The 17,478-nt window shown below is 39.1% G+C and overlaps 1 protein-coding gene across 12 annotated transcripts in view; it reads right to left on the bottom strand.

Moving 5' to 3' along the window:
• NSD1 (nuclear receptor binding SET domain protein 1) overlaps positions 1–17,478 on the bottom strand; it is a 168,416-nt gene that overhangs the window by 58,449 nt on the left and 92,489 nt on the right. For all 12 annotated transcript variants that reach the window (NM_001409301.1, NM_001409304.1, NM_001409305.1 and 9 more), the window contains 3 exons: positions 5,820–5,944; positions 3,258–3,528; positions 1,900–2,009 (listed from right to left, as the gene is read on the bottom strand). In NM_001409301.1, the coding sequence (NP_001396230.1) occupies positions 1,900–2,009; positions 3,258–3,528; positions 5,820–5,944 (506 nt within the window). The remainder of the gene's footprint in view (positions 1–1,899; positions 2,010–3,257; positions 3,529–5,819; positions 5,945–17,478) is intronic.

The raw sequence follows: 17,478 nt of genomic DNA, 5'->3' as shown, positions 1-17,478 counted from the left end.
GTAGGCCAGGTCAGATGGCAGGACAGACTCCCAAACAGACAAGAGGACACTTTTCTCCAGAGTTTGGTGCTAGCCATAACCAATAATTCTGATTTTCTCTTGCTCTGATCCCAAATTTAACGGCAACCCCCTCTCCCCAAAAGTAAAAATTCAACCGTGACGAAGAGTTATTAAGTATAATTAATACTTAAAAGATACTGGGAATCTAAGAGAGGGTGAGGATAAATATCAGGGAGTATTTTTTCTTTTTTTTTTTGAGAGAGAGAGAGTCTCGCTCTGTCGCCTAGGCTGGAGTGCAATGGCATGACCTCGACTCACTGCAACCTCTGCCTCCCAGGTTCCAGCAATTCTCCTGTCTCAGCCTCCTGAGTAGCTGGGATTATGCGCAGGTACCACGACGCCCAGCCATTTTTTTTTTTTTTGTATTATTAGTAGAGACGGGGTTTCACCATGTTGGCCAGGCTGGTCTCCAACTCCTGACCGCAAGTGATCTGCCCACCTGGGCCTCCCAAAGTGCTGGGATTACAGGTGTGAGCCACCGCACCCAGCCAATATCAGCAATTTTTTGGTAAATGGTGCTGAAACAACTGGACATCAATATGGGGGAGAACAAAACTCCATCTCAAAAATTCAAGATGGAACAAAGATCTATATGTGAAACCAGAACCAAAAAACTCCTAAAACACAGGGAGAACATCTTTGTGTCCATGGGGCACACAAAAATTTCATTTATTGATTGATTGACTGAGACAGGGTCTTGCTCTGTCACCCAGGGTGGAGTGCAATAGCGCAATCATAGCTCACTGCAGCCTCGACCTCTGGGGCTCAAGACATCCTACCACTTCAGCCTTCTGAGTAGCTGGGACCAGACATGCAACACCACACCATTTTCTGGGGTTTTTTTGGGACAGTTTTTTGTTTTGTAGAGACAAGGTCTCCTTTATTGCCCAGGCTGGTCTCAAGCTCCTGAGCTTAAGCAATCCTACTGCCTCGGGTTCCCTAAGTCCTGGGATTATAGGCTTGAGCCATCACAATAGATTTTTTATTTTTTTGAGACGGAGTCTCGCCCTGTCACCCAGGCTGGAGTGCAGTGGCGCCATCTCGGCTCACTGCAAGCTCCGCCTCCTGGGTTCACACCATTCTCCTGCCTCAGCCTCCCGAGTAGCTGGGACTACAGGCGCCTGCCACCACGCCCAGCTAATTTTTTGTATTTTTAGTAGAGAGGGGGTTTCTCCATGTTAGCCAGGATGGTCTCGATATCCTGACCTTGTGATCCGCCCGCCTCAGCCTCCCAAAATGCTGGGATTACAGGCATGAGCCACTGCGCCCGGCCACCATCACACTAGATTTCTTGAATAAAACACAAAAAGTATTTATCACATAAAAAAAAAATTGATACCCAGTCTCTACCAAAAAAAGACAAAAAATTAACTGGTGAGCCTGGGAGGCAGAGATTACAGTGAGCCAAAATTATGCCACTGCACTCCAGCCTGGGTGACAGAATCAGACCCTGTCTCAAAAAAACAAAACAAAAGGGCTACGACGACACGGCAATAGGAGAGTAGACTAGTGATATTTGAGATAGTAGTTTAGTAGAAAACAGGTAAGAGGATTTGAACCCAGAAAAGAAATTATAACAAACACAAACTTAATCTTCAAAGCATTTAAAAATTTTTTTCACTTGGAAAGGAAACCTGAAACCAGTTTATACACATACATGGTCACACAACTGCAAAACAGCCTTTCATGTAGGAAATCTCAGATCATGTATGACTGCTGACACACACACTAATTTCTATATGTATGTACATCAATGTTATAACTGCTACTCAAAATGTCATTTTTAAAATTTCTCATTTCCTGAGTTTATTTCTTTTAGAACTTACAAAAATAACATACCTTTTTAGAAAGGCCAAGGTCCCCCTTCTTGGGCATAAATCCAGGGTCTAAATCATTGGATTCAAGAAGTTTCTTAGTTGGTTTTCTTTGACGTTTACTTTCATAATTTCCTGAAATGCATGTATCTTTACATTAGATGATTTAGAAACTGGGCACAAGTTAATTTTTAAAAAATCTGTATACCACACAAAATGAATCTCAATGTTTTTGATGTTTTCCCCGTCATCTTATGGGAAGAGGCAGGATGGTAATTTGCTTATTATAAAATATTAGTAAACAAAACAAGTAAACAGTTTTCAATGCAAGCACCAACTAATGTGAGGGATGTGTGTGTGGTGACTTTAACTCACAAAATCACTAAGGGAGAAGTCAGAAGGACGGAACTGCCTTTATAACAACTGATTGTTGGTGAGGATAAAATAAGGAGAAGTGGAGTGAAATAGAACTTGGATCATGGTCATAAATGGACAAAGATTATAGTTTCTGCTCTGCCCCTAAGTAAATAAAATTCAATAGGTAAAAGATAATTCATAGGATCACTCAAGAATAATATAAAAGAGCTGACTTAATAGAGTTTTGGCACATAGTAGGTACTGAAATAATAACTATCTTTACTGTTCTTTCAAAAATCTTTTTTATTATACCCAACTAGTTTAAGCACAATTGGAATCGTTTCTTTAAGGAATAACATCAAAAGCTACTGTTGATAATGTAAAAAAGTTATATCCAAAATTTAAAGGGGTACAGAAAAGAGGATTCTTGCCATTCCTTGACTGACTATAATATTCAATAGTTACAAGGTGAATTAGAGACAATATGTTTAGATCCAACTCTCCCCAGGTGATATATAAAGAATGATCAAGTGAGAAGTAACTGGTAATTAACTTCTAATGAACTGGTAATTACTATGTTGTCAGGTATATAACATTACACATTAATACATTATGATCTCCATTTATAGATGAGGAAACAAGTTCAGAGATTAAACAACTTCCCAAGTAACACAAGGATTGGTGGAGCCAGCACTTGAAGCATAGTGCTTATTCCACTAATGTGCAGTACTCCTCTTGAAGCCCTGTTATCCTGGTTGTTAATTTACACAGTGGCTGATCAACAATCATGAAGAGCAACACTGGAGCAAGGAGCATAGTTATTAAAAATACATCTTCTTGATAGTGTGCCACAGTTCATGGTTAGTAACTATATCTAATTAACCATCATTTTAAGTATTTCCCAGGACAAAAGGGGGTAGTTTATTGTATATAGATACAATGTTGGCTTTACATCAAAACATACTAAAATCTCCTGCTTCCTCTAATCATATCTGCTCAAATACTGAGACCCCAACCCCACCTTACCTGGCGTTTTAACTAGCAATTCCTCAGACTCAAGGGCAGGCCGTGGAGAGACTTCCGGAGCCACAGGCACAGACAAGGTCAGCTGCGGCAACTCAGCATGTCCACCTCCAAGTTCTGACTGAGCCAAGGGGCCCTCCAAAAACGGAGCCTCCCTTTCAAGAACTGGAGGCTCTTCTTTGGTTGAAATCAAAGAATTCTCGTCCACCTGCTTGTTCTGAGCACTAGATCGACCTCGGGCTAGAAGGCTTTCCTCTTCACAGCGGGAACTTACCTAAGAACAAAAAATAAAAATAGAGTCCACAGGCCAAAATTGTTGTAATTTAAGTGTCAAAAAGAATAACACACTTTAAAAGGAATGAAATTCTGACAAAGGCTACAAAAAGTGGATGAACCTTGAAGACATTATGTATGCTAAGGGAAATTACTTAAGACACAAAGAACAAATATCGTATGATTTCAAGTATATGAGGTATCTAGAATAAGAAAATTCTTGAGACAGAAAATAGAATGGCAATTGCCAGGGGCTGAGCAGAAAAGGGAGTTATTGGTTAATGGGTATTGATTTTTAATTTGGAAAGATGAAAAAAATTATCGAGATGGATGGTGGAGATGGTTGCACAACAATCTAACTGTGCTTCATGCTACTGAACTGTACACTTAAAAATGGATAAAATAGGCTGGGCGTGGTGGCTCACGCCTGTAATTCCAGAACTTTGGGAGGCCAAGGCAGGCAGATCACGAGGTCAGGAGATCAAGACCATCCTGGCTACCATGGTGAAACCCTGTCTCTACCTAAAAATGCAAAAAATTAGCCAGGTGTGGTGGCGGGCACCTGTAGTCCCAGCTACTCGGGAGGCTGAGGCAGGAGAATGGTGTGAACAGGAGAGGCAGAGCTTGCAGTGAGCTGAGATCACACCACTGCACTCCAGCCTGGGCAACAGAGTGAGACTCCATCTCAAAAAAAAAAAAAAAAAAAGATAAAATAATAAAATTTACATTATATATATATATTTTTTTAACCAAAATTAAATGAAGTTGACTGAGATACACTGAAGCTATAATATTGATAAGTCCACAACAATAATTCAAAAGCAGGGGAAAGAGACTGCTCTAATGTCTCCAATTAAAACAACTACTAATGAACTCCTTAATGTTACAATTGGTAATTAATGGGAAAGAAAGAAGCACTTATTCTGCCTTTCAAGTATTTCAGGACAATAACAGAGTCCAATTAATGAAAGAGACTATCAGTTAATAAAAATAGAGAAAATAATAAAATCTGAAAGTCTTCATTTTGTAACCTCTAATAAAATTATTGATATAGGTAAAGATCTTCAACTGGGGTTTTCAAAAAACCATCAGGGAAGCTGGGCATGGTGGCCCACACCTGTAATCCCAACACTCTGGGAGGCTGAGGCAGAAAGATCACTGGAGCCCAGGAATTCGAGACCAGCCAGGGCAACATAGTGGGACACCGCCTCTACAAAAAAAATGTTGTCAAAAATTAGCCAGGTGTGGTAGTGTGCACCTTTGGTCCCAACTACTCAGGAGGCTGAGACGGAAACATTGCTTAAACCCAGGAGGTCAAGGCTGCAGTGAACCGTGTTCGTGCATCTCTGCACTCCAGCTTGGGCAAGACACTGTCTCAATTTTAAAAAAGAAAGAACAAACTGTCAGGGAATGGCTGATGGGAATAAAACATTTTTTAACCCTCTAATGTACAATATATTCCACATTATCATCTCTGATATAGTCTAGCTAAAAATGTTCAACTTTCAATCTATCAAACTGATAGGTTCTATCTTCCATTTGACAGAGAACAGGAGATAGAGAAAACAATCTAAGTGACACCTATGAGGAAGCAATTACACAAATACAGAAAGTAGATGACTTTATATGTCACTCTCTTATAGACATGATCATGATCATGAAAAAAGGGATTGTTCTGAATTCAAAGTGATTTGAGAACCATAACAACCAGTTACAATGAGCAGTCCTAGATTGAGTCCTGGTATGAATAATCCAAAGGTAAAGGTTAGGGGATAATTGATGAAATTTGAAAGACAGTTGATGTCAGATAAACAGATCTTATATAAGATGTAAATATGTTAAATTGATTATAAAGGAAAATGTTCCATTTTTTAACTACATATTAAACTATGTAGGGGTAGAATGTCAAGATGTCTCTATTTCATTTTAAAAAACTGAGTTGAAAAATAAGACAAATAAGATATATTTACTTTTGAAATTAGGGTCAGACTATATATATTTCACTTTATAGCCTATATTTTTACTTAAGATTAAATCATAACAATATTCCTAAGTCATTACTCTTTGAAGGCAAAGAGGGAAAAATATATACATAAATAAATACAATATGTAGATTCATTTATATATTTCCTGAATAACCACTAAATCCTAAGTACTGTGCTAGAAGCTGAGAATAAAAAACAAGATCTCAGTTAAGGAAATTATTGTTTCATGAAGATAAAGTATGACATTGAAGATAAAATTGCAGTTTCCTAAGGACCAGTGAAAGTTTGCTGAAATTTTGCAACATACCTTGTGCACCTGCTCCTGTACCTTCTTTTGTTTTTTCTTAGGAGCAAATATCTGATCATATTCTTCTGTATATTCCAAAAGCCACTTGCTTGGCTTCCTAAGGCGTTTCTTCTCTGACCGCACAGCTAAAAGATGATAAACAAATTCAACATTAATCAAAAAGCTTCAGGAAAACCCACTGTTTTTATGAGACCATCTGATACTCCCAAAAGTAACCAGATGGGAAACCACATAGTAAAATAGACTATGGCTTAAGATGCAAGAGGCACAAAATGGCTTATGTTTTCTCATATGCAAAAGGAGCTGGGGGGAGACAAAAGGACTTGTGTTACCTTATATACACAAATAATAGAATATATGTGGCCCATCCAAAATTAAGGAAAAGGTTAAATTTAAAGCCAGGTCTTATAGTCACTGACACCTGTACATATAAAGCTAATATATACCTAACAAAAATGTAGCATCTAGATCAGGTAAATAGGTAAAATACATCTTGAGTTACAGGCTAAGTATGCCTTATCTGAAACGCTTGGGATCAGAAGTGATTTAGAATTTTTCATATTTTGTAATATTTGCATATATATATAATAAGTTATCTTGGGGATGGGACCCAAATTGAAATACCAAACTCATTTATGTATTACACACATCTTCTATACACATAGCCTGAAGGTAATTTTACAAAATATTTATTTTCTACATTATACAAAGTTTGTGTACAGTGAACCATAAGAAAGCAAAAGTGTCATTATCTCAGCCACCATGTGGAATATCTGTGGTTGTTTGGCATTACCATCATTCCTGTCTCTGAATTTATGTGCTACTGACAGGCAAACATTTTCTTATACTTATTCACACATAAGTACTTAACAGTAAAAATATGACATACCATTAATACAGTGAAAAAGTAATGTGTGTTCAGGGTAGCTAAGCAGCACAGTAGTATCACGAGAATACATGTATCAGCTGATAAAAAAACAGTAATAACAATGTCGGGCTTTGTGTCTCCATCTATGATGCTGTGTTTTGATTAAAAGGTTACTGTATACTGTTTTATTTTATAAGGTAAGAAGAAACATCATCAGAAGCAATTAGGAACCAGGAAGTCCTCTAGGAATGAAGAGGCATTCTGTGGGATAGCTTTTTAAAATGTTTCCTCTAAAGTCATCTGTCTCATTAACAACGAGTATTGTCTAGAAGGATCTCATTTTATTCATTTCTTTATTTTTTGAGACGGGGGCTCACTCTGTCACCCAGGCTGGCGTGCAGCAGCATGATCTCAGCTCACTGCAACCTTCACCTTCCAGGATCAAGCGATTCTACTGCCTCAGCCTCCTGAGTAGCTGGGATTACAGGCGCCTGCCACCACACCCAGCTAATTTTGTATTTTTAGTACAGACAGCATTTCACCGGGTTGGCCAGGCTGTTCTCGAACTCCTGACCTCAAGTGATCTGCCCGCCTTGGCCTCCCAAAGTGCTGGGATTACAGGCTCTCGAGACACTGCGCCCAGCCCAAGGCTCTCATTTTATAAACTGACATGATTTCTTTTTCTGTTATGAATGAACACTGCTCTGGTCCTTCAATAAGCCCATCACATACATTAACCATGTCATCTATAGGTACTTTTTCTGCAGTGTTAATGTCATCTTCATTATCACAATCACTCTGATTCAGATCGATGTCAGCTCTATCACCATGTTGAACAAAGAAACGGGAGCCTCTTTGTCGATATTAAAAGCTTTCTTGTTATCCACTTCTTCCAGCTTACTGACAAATGGAAGGTATACTTTTTGCATATGTAAGGATGTTACACATTTTTCTCACTTTACTGAAGAAGCCATCAAAATCACCACCTTGTTCATTATCATCAGTGAACACAGCTGAAGGTCACAAGTGGTGCCAGGCATGCACAGCTGTACCTTTAGTCACTGTGTTCCAGACACTGACAACAGCATATATGGCATCCTTCACTCCTTTTGAAACCCTTTCACACCCATACATCTATTCACAGCTGCCAGCATATTCAAGAAAGCATTTTTATATTTACTCTTCATCAATCTAGGGATTCCCTGGTCATATGGCAGTGAAGTCACACTTCAGGGAAAGCACATGGCATAAACATTATTTTTGATAAAATTGCAGCTGCAGGATGAGCCGAAGAGTTTTCAAGGAGGAACAGTCATCATCCTGTCCAGCTTCCCTGAAATAAGCACCAACTACTGCTATAAAATGTTTGTGAAACCAATCAGAAAAGATGTCCCTAGATATCCATGCCTTTCTGTTAGCATAATAACGAACTGGTAAGAAATTCATGCCTTTGGGGCAGGTGCGGTGGCTCAGGAGTTCGAGACCAGCCTGGCCAATATGGTGAAAGCCTGTCTCTACTTAAAAAAAAAAAAAAAAAAAATACTAGCCAGGCATGGTGGCTCATGTCTATAATGCGAGCTACACCAGATGCCGAAGCATGAGAATCACTTAAACCCAGGAGGCAGAGGTTGCAGTGAGCCAAGATCTAGCCACTGCACTCCAGGCTGGGTGACAGAGCCAAACTTTAAAAAAAAAAATTTATGCCTTGGGGCTGGGTGCAGCAGCTCACGCCTGTAATCCTAGCACTTAGGGAAGCCAATGCAGGAAGATCACTTGAGCCCAGGAATTCAATACCAGCCCAGTTAACATAGTGAGACCCCATCTCTACTAAAAATAAAAATAAAAAAAAATAGCCAAGCATAGTAGCACACAGCTGTAGTCCCAGCTACCAGGGAAGAATGCTTGAGTCTGGAAGATCAAGGCTACTGTGAGCCATAATTGTGCCACTGCACTCAAGCCTGGACAACAGGGCGAGACTATCTCCAAAAAAAGAAAAGAAAAGAAATTCATGCCTTGAAATCACTAACAGTGAGAACACAAGCTTTTGCCTATCATAGCAAGTTTACACTTACACATGCCTGCTTAATTAGCACATCCCAGCACAGTTACTCTGTCCTAGTCATCCTGAATTCCTGTAGGGCCTGTCTCATCATACATGGTGGTCAGTCTAATACCATACTCTTCTGAAAGATGTTTCACACTTACACCACTGTCTAGTTTCTCCAAGAGCCTGACTTACTTTCTGCACTATACCTAAATTCTTCCTCCTTTCTTATTACTCTAATCTATGGGGATATCTTCAGGCTTTCTGAGAAGTTCAACAAAATCTTTATACCACAAAGCAGGAAAAAATTCTTTTTAATTTAAAAACACAATGAATAATGCAAGGAGGCTTTTGCCCCATGTGGGTTATTTTGGAAAACTTTCTGTTGGTGCATCCAGCCTGCACGTGTGCCATTTTATCACCTTTTATGGGTATAATTGCATGGGAAAATCCGGCTGTGCATGCAAAAGATACATCTAAGCTGAAGGGTGATGGAAGGATAGTTTTTCCCTGGGGGACGTTGAATAAACTCTGCTGTGTTCCTGTGTTCTGACTGACACATTGCATGATGTCAACTGTGGAATTTTCCACTTGTGGTATTATGTCAATATTCAAAAAGATTTCGATTTTGGAGCATTTTGGATTTCTGATTAGGAATGCTCAACCTGCATTTTAAACAACATCTCTATGGATTTTGTAGAATATCAGGAATGACATTTCAACAGAATATTATATAATCGGCACTACCACATGAATTTCAAAACCACTTTACAAACACTTCATCGATTTAGTATCATATGGTTGTATTACTGTCTCATGCTAAAAAACAGAGAACTATACATCTAAACAGAATTATCAAAAAACATAAAAGGCATGGGAGGCCAAGGTGAGCAGATGGTTTGAGCCCAGGAGTTCAAGAACAGGCTGGGCAACAAAGTGAGACCATGCCTCTACTAAACATAAAAATATAGCTGCCTGTGGTGGCACACACCTGCGGTCCCAGCTACATGTGAGACTGAAGCAGGAGGATGGCTTCAGCCCAGGAGATAGGGGCTGCAGTGAGCCAAGACAGTGCCACCACACTCAAGCCTGAATGACACAGCAAAACCCTATCTGTAAAAATAAAATAATAATAATATATATAACTGATTATATGTCATTATCCCAATAACATAAAAGTGTATGTCATGTATGCAAAAGGCAGGAGAATAAGATTTAATATATATGCAATTGCTTTATGGATCAAAAGAAAAGAAAAAATTGAAAGATTAAAAATGGAATTTTGGGTACGTCCTTTAAAAAAATCTTGTCACGGTTTGGGCGCAGTGACTCATGCTTGTAATCCCAGCACTTTGGGAGGCCAAGGTGGGCGGATCACCTGAGGCCAGGAGTTCGAGACTAGCCTGTGAACATGGAAAAACCCCGTCTCTACTAAAAATAAAAAATTGTGTAGTGGCGTATGCCTGTAGTCCCAGCTACTCAGGAGGGTGAGGAAGGAAAATTGCTTGAACCTGGAAGGTGGAGGTTGTAGTGAGTCGAGATCGTGCCACTGAACTTTAGCCTCCATCTCAAAAAATAATAATAACCTTGTCATGTTTTATGATCAAAATATTAAAGTATACATTTTTCTTCAAAGTAATGGTGAAAACAGCTAGGCAAAGTGGCCCACGCCTGTAATCCAAGTACTTTTGGAGGCACAAGCAAGAGGATTACTTGAGCCCAGGAGTTCAACACAAGCCTGGGGAACATGGCGAGACCTCGTCCCTACAAAAAGTTAAAAATTAGCCAGGTGTGGTGGCACGCGCCTGTAGTCCCAGCTATTTGGGAGGCTAAGGCGGGAGGATCACTTGAGCCCAGGAGTTTGAGGCTGCAATGAGCTAGGATTGTGCAACTGCACTCCAGCCTGGACAACAGAACAAAACCCTGTCTCAAAGTGGGGGCAGGGTGGTGACTTACACAAACCCATCTTATTAGTTAATTATTGAGGTGGCAAGGTCATAATTCCATCCCAAAGTCTCTCAAAACTCCCCATGAACATTTTTCATTAAAACAGATCCCTATGCTATCACATCATGCCCCTTTATCCCCATCCATCACTAACCCCCTCACACAAATTGGATCTCAATCCTAGACAGTCTCCTTCCTTTGTCTTCTTCTTGGCAGGTTCCATAGGCTAAGTCTTGTTGCATTTCCTCTTTTTTTTTTTTGAGTCGGAGTCTCGCTTTGTCGCCCAGGCTGAAGTGCAGTGGTGTGATCTCGGCTCACAGCAACCTTCACCTCATGGGTTCAAGTGATTCTTGTGCCTCAGTCTCCCGAGTAGCTGGGACTACAGGCACAAGCCACCACATCTGGCTCATTTTTCGGATTTTTAGTAGAGACAGTGTTTCATCATGTTGGCCCAGCTGGTCTCAAACTCCTGTCCTCAGGTGATCTGCTCACCTCAGCCTTCCAAAGTGCTGGGATTATAGGCTTGAGCCACCACGCCTGGCCACGTTTCCTCTTATAATTGCTGTTTCCACTCTACCTTTGGGGTTTGCTTCTCTCATAGAGTAACTTCTCAGACTAGGCTTCAATACTCCAGCTCTCTATTTCCTTGCAGCTCACAATGAAACCAGCAGATAGCACAAAAGACTGGAAATTAAAGTGAGAAATTCTGTACTGGATACATCTATTAGGTGACAGAGAACTTATGGCTCATAAAACCTAAAATATTTACTATCTGGCACTTTTCTACTTTGGTAGAAACGTCTACCAACTCTTTCCCTAAATAAAAAATAAAGTAACATACTGAGGCTGAAGCACGAGAATCACTTGAACCCAGGAGGCAGAGGTTGCAGTGAGCCAAGACAGCACCACTGCACTCCAGCCAGGGCGACCGAGTGAGACTTCGTCTAAAAAATAAAAAATAAAAATAAAACACAAATAGAGTAACATATTGTAAGTGAAACAGCATGGTGACAACTGAATGATTTTTAAAAAGATGTTTCCTGGGTGGGATGCAGTGGCTCATGCCTATAATCTCAGCACTTTGGGAGGCTGAAGCCAGCAGATCACTTGAAGTCGGGAGTTTGAGACCAGCCTGGCCAACATGGTGAAGCTCCGTCTCTACTAAAAATACAAAAACTAGCCAGGTGTGGTGGTGCATACCTGTAGTTGCAGCTACTCAGGAGGGTGAGACAGGAGAATCACTTGAACCTGGGAGGCGGAGGTTGCAGTGAGCCTAGATCGTGCCACTGCACTCCAGCCTGGGTGACAGAGCAAGACTCCACCTCAAAAAAATAAAAAAATACATAAAAAGATGCTTCCTGGCTGTTGCTAGGCTTCCCCTCTTTCTTCCTTGCCTCAACTACCCCAACTCCCTACCTATGTTCTCTCCCAGTTACAGCACTTTTCAGTTAGAAAAGCATGGAGAATTCACCTACTCTTACTACAGAGGAGCAAAGTGAGGCAAAAAAGTAAGTGATTTGCCAAGCTAAGATAAAGAATATATCAGGAACAAAGGAGGAATATGACCTTTTGGATACTGGAAGAAAATATCAAAATCCATAAAACTGCACAAGTCAATGGAAAGAGGAGTAATTATGCAAACCTTAATACAGGATATGTAGCAAATATCAAACAAAGCAAGAGCCAAATCACACTACCCCTAAGGTTCTCAGCAAATATGCCCTAATTCCTACCACACAACCAGTACGTCATGCCTACTATACAACTACAAAATGTCACTGTATTGTGAAGAAAGAGATAAATGACAAATACTGGATGAGTATAGCAATAGCCGTAGACCTCAGAGTATACACTACCAACTAAAATGATAAAACAGCCAAAAAGTTGAAACAGCCCAAATGTTAATCAATGAATGAATGAATAAATAAAATTAGGCATACATCTATGGTGGAATACTATTTAGCAAAAAAGGGGACAAATTACAGATGGTAAGTTTTTTTTTTTAAATCAGAAAAATATACCAAATGAGAAGAACAAGACACAAAAGATCACATATTGCATGATTCCATTAATATTAAATGTCCAGGGAAAAGGCAAATCTACAGAGACAGTCAACTATTGGTTCTCTAGGACTAGTGGTAGGAAGAGGGATTAACTATATACAGATTAGAAGGATCTTTACTGGGATGGTAGAAATGCTCCGAAATGGATTTACAGAGATGGTTGCATAACACATTAAATTTGCAAATAGTATTCGATTGTATACATAAAATGTACGAATTTCACAGTATGTAAATTATACCTTGGATAAAGTTAATTTTAAAAAGTAAAATCTCTTTCATCAAGACTGAACTACATACAGTTTTCTCCTTTTCATTAAAATGGTGAATTTTTCCAAAGGACTAGAATACTAGTAGCAACATCACTCTTCCAATACAGATTATTAGACCCTATTTATACCTCGACTTTCCTAGTTCTGGAGCCTCAGAGAAAAAAGTTTAAAGAAACAAAAAAAAAGGCAAAAACCCCAAAACCATTCCTAATAGTGGCAATCTAGATCATTCAGCCTAGGCCGGGGCTGGTGACTCGCGCCTGTAATCCCAGCACTTTGGGAGGTCGAGGCAGGTGGATCACTTGAGGTCAGGAGTTCAAGACCAGCCTAGCCAACATGGCAAAATCCCGTCCCTACTAAAAATACAAAAATCTGCTTAGCGTGGTGGTGCATGTCTGTAGTTGCAGCTAATAGCTCATAAGTCAAGATCATGCCACTGCCCTCCATCCTGGGTGACAGAGTAAGACTCTAACTCAAAAAAAAAAAAAAGAAAAGAAAAAGAAAAAAAGGCCAATGTTATCAATATACTATAATAAAACTTACGTGAATGTGCTCTCTCTCCCTCTCTGCCCCAAAATAACTGCATTGCACTATACTCACCTATTTTTGGACCTCAGTTGACTACAGGTAATTGACACTGTGAAAAATGAGTTTCTAGATAAAGGGAGACTACTGTACAGAGTAAGAGAAATATGTAAAACCATATAACAGAGCTGCATACAGCGCAATGCAGCCTGAGAAAATCTACAGGATGAATCTTCCAAAAAAAAATAAATTACAAAAAAAAATTCTGCTTTTTTTTTTTTTTGAGAGAGTTTCTCTCTTGTGGTCCAGGGTAGAGTACAATGGCACAATCTCGGCTCACTGCAACCTCTGCCTCCTGGGTTCAAGCAATTCTCCTGCCTAACTGTCCCGAATAGCTGGAATTACAGGTGTGAGCCACTGTGCTAGGCCAAACTTTCTGCTTTCTGTTCCATGTTTTAGGTTATTTTAAAAATTTAAATATGAATATTTAGGCCGGGTGTATGGCTCACATCTGTAATGCCAGCACTTTGGGAGGCCAAGGCGAGCGGGATCACCTGAGGTCAGGAGTTTGAGACCAGCCTGGCCAACAGGCGAAACCCTGTCCCTACTAAAAATACAAACATTAGCCCGATGTGGTGGCGCACACCTATAGCTACTCCGGAGGCTGAGGCAGGAGAATTGCTTGAACCCGGGAGGCGGAGGTTGCAGTAAGCCAAGATCGCATCACTGCACTCCAGCCTGGGTGCTAGGCTCTGTCTAAAAATAATAATAATAATATTTAACTCATAAAAATCCAAAGTTAATGAATATTGTTATCATCCTGCCAGAAAGTAAAGGAAACTAACTTCCATCTGCCTCCTTATCAACTTATATTTTATTGTTGTGGTATATTTTAATGCCATATGTATTTAAGACCATAAGGCATTATTATTTTCATAGTCAACTGATTTACTCAAATATTTAGCACTTTCTTTATTCTGAATTCCTACTGAAAAAGGATGTATCACAGAAAATTGCAAACATCTACAAAACCAGTATAGTAAACACCTAGACTCACTGATTACAAATTCATGGCCAATCTATTTTTATCTGTATCCCCATCTTTCCATGTTATTTTGCAATATCTCATACTCCATAATATTTCATCCATATGTGTTTCATCATGTATCTCTAACGGGATATTTTAACATAACAGAATACCTCTAGTACATGTAATAGTATTTACTCAGTAAAAATATCCCTATCCACACCCTGCCCTACAGTTGTTATAAATTTGGCAGGACTCTGTAAAATAAAAAACCATTGGAAATTCCAAACAACCAAAGTAAATTAACCATCTGAAACATAGCTTCATTCATATCAAAACTATACATGCAGCCCCTTAACAAAATTTCATACTTTACTCAAAATTTTTTTTTAATTACTAGATTGTGAGTGGGAATACAGACTTGGAAAAGGGGGTGGTTAGACTGGATGTTAAAAAAAATTAACAGAATGCCAATCTGTACTTTTCTGTACTGTTAGTAGGAACATATCAGTATAACAACTATGAAGTGAAATTTCAAATTGGAATACTATGAGATATCGCCAAAGACAAACCAAATGACCTAAGCTGGGCATGGTAGTACACGGCTGTGGTCCCAGCTATTTGGCTGAGGCAGGAGGATCTCTCAAGTGAAGGAAAGAGTTTGAGACCAGGCTTGGGCAAAACAGCAAGAACCCCATTTCAAAAATAAATAAATAAACCTCGATAGCAATTTATCTTTCAGGTTCTCTCACACATACCAAATGACTTAAGATTTTTAACTATGCTAAATTTTAAATTACTTAAAACTGGAAAACAAACTAAATGTCCATTAATTGAGAACAGGTTTAACAAATTATGGCACACTACTGGCCGGGCCCGGTGGCTCACGCATGTAATCCCAGCACTTTGGGAGGCTAAAGCAGGTGGAACACTTGAGCTCAGGAGTTCAAGACCAACCTGAAACCTCACCTCTACCAAAAATACAAAAATTAACCGGGTGTGGTGGCACGTGCCTGTAGTCCCAGCTACCTGGGAAGCTGATGTGGGAGGATTGCTTGAGCCCCGGAGGCAAAGGTTGCAGTGAGCCAAGATTGTGCCACCACACTCCAGCCTAAGCAACAAAGTGAGACCCTGTCTCAAAAACAAAAACGAAAAACTATGGCACACTCTGCTGCTTAAAAAATGAGAAACTCATTATGCATGGATATGAGAGTGAAACAAAAAAATCAAGGTACAAACAACGTATATATACTGTTGAATTTGTGTAACAAACACACATCTACCTTTTTCTTGGTAATTCATACACTGAGTATCTCTGGAGAGCAGATCTAAGCCACTGAGGTACAGGGTTGGGAGGAAAATTTTTACTGAATAGCTTCTCTCATCTTTTCAATACATACTCAAAACCAAAAAATTCAAAACTGAAGTAAAAATAAAATTATATGAAAATATTTGAAATATAATGAACGAAAATTGTGAACTATTCTTAAGGAAAAGACATCATCTGCTTTAACAGTAATATTCACATGTACATTAATAATAATTCACAGGAATGGATTATTTCCAGCACCCATATGACCCTATTTACTAGCAAAGGTAGATCTATATAAAGGCGGTGAAAGTAAAGGATGTCAGGAAAAAGGGGAGAAAATAAATAAGAAAGGCCACAATTGGGTTATAACAAAGCACTACTTAAGAAACTACCTGTCACGTTCATTCTATGAGGCCAGTATACTCTGAAAGCAGAACTAGACTAAGACGGCTGGGCACGGCGGCTCACACCTGTAATCCCAGCACTTTGGGAGGCTCAGACAGGCAGATTACTTGAGATCAGGAGTTCAAGACCAGCCTGGCCAATATGGTGAAACCCCGTCTCTACTAAAAATACAAAAATTAGCTGGGTGTGGTGGCACGTGCCTGTAACCCCAGCTACTTGGGAGGCTGAGGCAGGAGAATCACTTGAACCCGGGAGGCAGAGGATGCAGTGAGCCGAGATCACACCACTGAAGCCTGGGCGATGAGGGCGAAACTCCGTCTCAAAAATATAAAAACAAAAAACATCAACAACAAAAAGAACTAGACAAAAGGTATCACACAAATAGGAAAACTGTAGACCAATATCCTTTGAGTATAGATTTTTAAATCTTCAGCAAAATACAAGCAAAACACATCCAACAACATTACACAACATGACCAAGTAGGATTTACCCCAGGACTTCAAAGTTGGTTCAAATTACAAAAATCAATCAATATAATACATCATATGGATAGAATAAAGGGGGAAACGCAAAATTGTCTTCTCAATAGACACAAAAAAGATCTTACAAATGTGACAAAATAGGTATAAAAGAGAACATTCTAAATATGAAAGGTAATATAACAAAACCACAGCTGACATCATAGTTAATGAAAAAGACTCAATTATTTCCTCCTAACATCAAAAACAAGACAAGGATGTCTGCTTTTTCCACTAGTATTCCGCATCACACTGGAGGCTCTAGCCAGGGTAAGTAAGCAAAGGGGGAAAAGGGCAACTAGATTAGAAAACATGCAGATTGCATGGTCATGTACACAGAAAATCCAAAATAATTCATAAAAAAATACTATTACTAACAAACAGTAATCAATTCTATTAATTAACAGAGATGAGTTCAGCAAAGTTGCACGATAAAATAATATACAAAATGTTTGTATTAATATTAAATATTAAAATAATATACAAAATTTTCATAAACATGAGATAATTTGAGAATGAAATCAAAAACAAATTCATTTATAAAAGGACAAAGAAAGACTAAAATACTTAGGAATAAATTTTTTTAAGTGCAGAATTTATACACTGAAAATTACAAAGTATCATGGAAAGAAGTGAAAGACGAATCTAATTGGATGAAAAGTCATCTATTATTCATGGAT

Source organism: Homo sapiens, chromosome 5 (assembly GCF_000001405.40).
Source record: "Homo sapiens chromosome 5, GRCh38.p14 Primary Assembly".
NCBI classification, from domain to species: Eukaryota; Metazoa; Chordata; class Mammalia; order Primates; family Hominidae; genus Homo; species Homo sapiens.
The sequence above is the reverse complement of the archived record's forward strand: the minus strand, read 5'-3'. Positions and strand labels throughout refer to the sequence as shown.